A 6,000-nucleotide genomic window follows, 5' to 3' on the forward strand; every position below is an offset into this window, starting at 1 on the left:
AGTTTTTTTCTGCTCAGTTGTCTGAATTATTACCCCGGTCTGTCTTGTTGCCACTCTTGATGCCCACATGAGAGGATCTAAGGTAATTTCTGACACCTGGGACTCCTTAAGGAAAAACAAGATTCCACAAACCCCGTTTTAGGAGAAACCTCTGTTTTTGCCATGGAACCCCAATAACTTTAAGCAGACAGGTCTCTCTCAAAAATCTAAGGCTCTCTTCTGTTTTGCCTTGCATTGTCTGACCTTTTTGGTTTGGGTGGGCATCAGAAATTAGTAGGGGAGAGAGATCTAAAGAAAATTGTGGATATGAAGATGTATTTATTGTAAGAAATGTTATGAAGGAAAGAAATGTTATATGAGAGAGGATCTTATATGGCAAATGGTTGTCCTAAAGTAGAATGACTAATTACGAAAGAGGGAAATACAGGACAGGTCAGATAAATTTAATCATGTTGTAGATGGTCTGTGGAAGTTGTGTTATGGTTCATAAAATGGGAAAGAAAATCTTAACAACTGCTAGATCTTTTCTTGTCTAGAAGTGTTGTGCATGTGATGTATATATAATGGCTTGGCTTAAAAGAAAATGAAAGCTCTTAAATATTTTGTCAGAAAAATAGAAGCTGTAATGCCTTTTATTTCATGTGACTTCAGTGATCTTTGGGAAATAAAGACAGTGTTAAATCAGTTAAAATCAGTGGTAAAATAAAAATATCTTCAAAATTTATCCATTTGGTCTAATTGAAGTCAGAGGTTAAGTTTTAGAAGCGCTTTAATGTCATAAATTGATTCTTTGACTTTGGAAAATAGTTTCATTTACCTGGTTTGGAGCCGTTAGATTTCTAGATAAGGTCTCCGGACAGGTGGAGTTAGCCATGTCTCCTAGCTATGCTGGAAAGAGTCAGATTTTATCTGCAGTTCTGTCTTGTATCCTAGACTCTGCGCCTGGTATGCAATTAAAACTTACGCTGCTGCTAATCTCTGGGTTCCATTTAAAATCCTTCCATCACATGAATACTATCCCCTGTACTAAATTTTTCCACAATTAAATACTTAGAATCATTTTTGCTGACTTGACCCAACCATTAGTGATATATTTTAAAAACGCTTATAATGTGTCACAATATATTTAGCAAATGTAGGGAATGACATTTTTACTTTTGTCAGCATTTACATAGCATTTATGTAGCAATGCTATCTCAAGTATTTTTAGTCATTTAAATGTTAGATAATAGATATGCTTTTGATTCCTTTGTTTCTATGTAAATATAATTATGAGATATTTAGTAAATAGTATCAATTACATGTTTCACTTATAGAATATACTAATAAAGTTAGGATTATTTTTATATGCTACATCATATTTACTTGTTGGCTTTACAATAAGTTAGAAATAATATTCTGGATTAACTGTGTGACTCATGAGAGGGAGTTTGTGCAAGTATAGTCTTTCCAAATTTTTACTAGATTTTTCAAGACTTAACGCTAGAACTGTGAGAACAAGGTAATAAATAAGCATATCTGTTAATATCACCTTTGGTCAACTCTTGGCTAGACCCAATGATAATGTAGGAATTAACATAACTTTTCCTACTAAAGGTGTTGGATTTGTTCTGAGAGACCACAAAGTCATTGACAAAGTTTAAAAATCATTAGATTAAAAACTTATAGTGCGTTTGAAATTGTTTTGTAGAAAAATATCCTGGTTTACATTGATAGGTTTTTTTTTTTATAAGAACTAGATCAAGAGAAAGGGAGAGTAGTGATAAATGTCCATGTTTTCAAGTTGAAAAGTAACAGTGTATTACAACAGATGGATTTGATGTCAAATTACAAATGCTGAGAACATTATATGTAATTGACTTGCCAGAGTAATTATACAAGGCAAAGAAAGGAAAGGCATCTAAATAGGAAAGGAAGGGGTGAGATTGTCTGTGTTTTAGACTCCACAAAAAACCCCTTATAGCTGATAAACGCTATATTCAATAAAGTTGAAAGTTACAAAATTAACATACAAATAGTATTCTGGTTTCTATACACCAATGACAAACTATTATCTGAAAAATAAGATAATTCCATTTATAGTAGCAACAAAACAAATATATAAATAAAAGAGCAAAGAGTAATTTTAATGAAGGATGTGAACGATTTGTATACTGAAAATTATAGCACATTGATGAAAGAAATTGAAAGTGACAAATAGAAAAACATCCTATATTTATCAATTGAAAAAATTAATATTGTTAAAATTTCAATGCTATTCAAAGCATTCTACAGATTAAATGCAACCACTATCAAATTCCAATGTCATTCTTCACAGAAATGAAAAATTAGTCCTAAAATCTGAATGGAACCACAAAAGACGCTGAAAAACCAAAGCAATCTTTAGCAAAAAGAACAAACCTGGAGGCATCAGACTACCTAATATTTGACAAAGCAAACAAAAGAAAATGGGAAAGGACACCCTATTCAAATATGGTGCTGGCATAATTGGCAAGCCACATGCAGAAAAATGAAACCATTCTTCAAAAGGTTAAATACGGAATTACCACATGACTCAGTAAATTCAGTACTATGTATACACTAAAAATAAATTAAAACAAATGCCTCACACATACAAGTATTTATAGCAACAAAAAGTAGGAAATAACAGAAATGTCCATGAATTTTGGAGTGGATTAATAAAATGTGGTCTGTCCATAAAATAAAATATTATTTGGCAATGAAAAAGAAAAACATATTAATACATGCTCCAAAATGGATGAACATTGGAAACATGATAAATGAAAGTAGTGAGTCACACGTAACTATATTATTATGATTCCACTTACGTGAAATGTCCAGAATAGGCAAATCCTTCCAGAATAGGCAAATTCTTAGGAAGTAGATGGATGATTGCCTAGGGCTGGGAGGGGTTTAAAGGAAGAATGGGGAAAATGGGAAAAGATTGCTAGTGGGTGCAAGGTTTCTTTTAAGGAGCGTGAAAATGTTCTAAAATTACATTGTGGTGATTGTTTACCCAGTTAATACAGTTAAAAAAAAGTGAATTTTATACTTTAAATGGGTGAGTTAAATAATATATAAATTATATCTCAGTGAACCTGTGAAAAAAGTTAAAAAATATGTGGTATGCATAAACAAAAAGTTCTTCATTTTATTTCCATAGGGTTTTGGGGAAAAGGTGGTGTTTGATTATATGAGTAAGTTCTTTAGAGGTGATTCCTGAGATTTTGGTGCACCCAACACCTGTGCAGTATACACTGTATACAGTTTGTAGCCTTATATTCCTTACCCCCTCCCACCCTTTCTCCCAAGTCCCCAAAGTTCTAGTATTCTAATGCCTTTGCATCCTTATAGCTTAGCACCCTCTTCTAGCGAGAGCATACGGTTTGCTTTTCCATTCTTACGTTACTTCACTTAGAATAATAGTCTCTGATCCCATCCAGGTTGCTGTGAATGCCATTATTTTTTTCCTTTTTATGACTAAATAGTATTCCATAAGATATATGTATGTATGTATGTATACGTTTATATATATATATCACAATTTCTTAATCTACTCATTGATGGGCATTTGGGCTGGCTACATACTTTTGCTATTGTGAATTGTGCTGTTTTACACTTGTGTGTGCAAGCATCTTTTTTATATAATGACTTCTTTTCCCCTCTGGGTAGATACCCAGTAGTGGAATTGCTGGATTAAATGGTAGTTCTACTTTTAGTTCTTTAAGAACTATATTTACCATAGTGGTTGTACTAGTTTACATTACCACTAGCAGTATAAAAGTGTTCCCTTTTCACCAAATGCCCACCAATATTTTTTATTTTTTGATGTTTTGATTATGGCCGTTCTTGTAGGAGTAAGGTGGCATGGCATTGGGTGTTTTTTTTTGAGATGGTGTCTGCTCTGTTGCCAGGCTGGAGTGCAGTGGTGCAACCTGGGTTTACTACAGCTTCCACCTCCCGGGTTCAAGTGATTCTCCTGCCTCAGCCTCCCGAGTAGCTGGGACTACAGGTGCCTGCCACCACGCCTGGCTAATTTTTGTATGGTTTTCACCATGTTGGCCAGGGTGGTCTTGATCTCTTGACCTTGTGATCCACCCACCTCAGTCTTCCAAAGTGTTGGATTTCAGGCGTGAGCCACCACTCCCGGCCTGACATTGTGGTTTTGATTTGCATTTCCCTGATCATTAGTGATGATGAGCATTTTTTCATACTTGTTGGCCATTTTTTATATCTCCTTTTGAGAATTGTCTATTCAAGTATTTAGCCCATTATTTGAAGGGATTGGTTTTTTTTCCTGCTAATTTGAGTACCTTGTAGATTCTGGATATTAGTCCTTTGTCAGATGTATAGATTGTGAAGATTTTTCTCCCTTTCTGTGGGTTGTCTGTTTACTCTGCTAATTGTTTCTTTTGCTGTGCAGAAACTTTTTGGCTTAATTAAGTCTCACCTGTTTATCTTCATTTTGTTGTCACACTTGCTTTTGGGTTCTTGGTCATGAAGTCTCTGCCTAAGCCAATGTGTAGAAGGGGTTTTCCAATGTTACCTTGTAGAATTTTTATGGTTTCAGGTCTCAGATTTAAGTTGACTTTTGTATAAGGTAAGAGATGGGGATCCAGTTTCATTTCTTGGGATGTAGCTTGCGAATTATCCAAGCACCATATGTTGAGTAGGGTGTCCTTTCCCCACTTTATATTGTTGTTTGCTTTGTCAAAGACCAGTTGGCTGTAAGTATTTGGGTTTGTTTCTGGGTTCTCTATTCTATTCCATTGGTCTATGTGCTTATTTTTATACCAGTATTATGCTGTTTTGCTGACTATGGCCTTGTAGTATAGATTGAAGTCAGGTAATGTAATGCCTCCAGATTTGTTCTTTCTGCTTAGTCTTGCTTTGGCTATGTGGGCTCTGTTTTGATTCCATATGAATTTTAGAATTATCAGGAGTCGGCGCCGTGGCAGCTTTGGGATAACTTGAGGGCGCATCCTGGGGAAGAAACACCTCCTGTCCGTGGTGCTGACTGCGGAGGACAGCGCTTCGGCGTGGCTTCTCCGTGGCCCAGCTTCTTTGGTGCATTTTTCTTTCATGGTGAGTACAGAAGCTTTCGTTTTCTGGAATGTTCTGTGTATTTCTGCTAGATTCTCACTCCTTTTTCTTTTCTCTCTTGATATCTTACCATTAACTTTACAGTAATACTCATTCCCTGAGGGCTTTTGAGGTTGGAATGTGTAGGAGGCTTTAGGGCTGTTTCTGAGGGAGACTCCCCATGTAGGTGGAGAGAGAGGAAAGCTCTGGCAGTGGGAGGAAGGGGAAGCCCGGCCCAGGTGGGGTGTAGGGGCCAGGCCCCAGTTTGGCTGCCTTGCTTTCAAGCCTCAGGTGGAAGGAAAGGATCCAACTTAGCCTCCAGGGTTTGCTAATTTTGGAGATACGGTCTCGTCCTGTTTTTGGAGATACGGTCTCACCCTGTTGCCCAGGCTGGCGTGCAGTGGTGGATCTCAGTTCACTGCAACCTCCATTTGTGGGCTCAAGGGATTCTCCAGCCTTAACCTTTCCAGTATCTGGGCCTATGCCCCACGCCCAGCTATTTTTTTTTTTTTGTATTTTTGGTAGCCACGGGGTTTTGCCATGTTGCCTAGGCTTGTCTCAAACTTCTGAGCTCAAAGCAATCCTCCCGCGTCAACTTACCAAAGTGCTGGGATTACAGGCGTGAACTACTGCACCTGGTCTGCTGAATTTTTAAATCCGTGTCCCTGACGTCGGGACACAGGGGTCACATTTCTCCACTCCCTGCAGTGCCTGCCTAACTCTGTCCCTCTAGTCATGGCCACCTGACCGGGGGAAGGGACCTTGCGTGTGGTTTACTGTCCTCTTGGCAGAAATGTCTATTCAGGGTCCCTGCTCAGTTTTGGGTGGATCATTGTTTTTTTTGTTGCTACTTAGTACTGTTAATGTGTTGTGTATTTTCCATAACAACTCCTTAGCCAATAGGTGATTCCTCAAAAT

The sequence above is a fragment of the Homo sapiens genome, chromosome 2 (genome assembly GCF_000001405.40).
Source record: "Homo sapiens chromosome 2, GRCh38.p14 Primary Assembly".
NCBI lineage: Eukaryota > Metazoa > Chordata > Mammalia > Primates > Hominidae > Homo > Homo sapiens.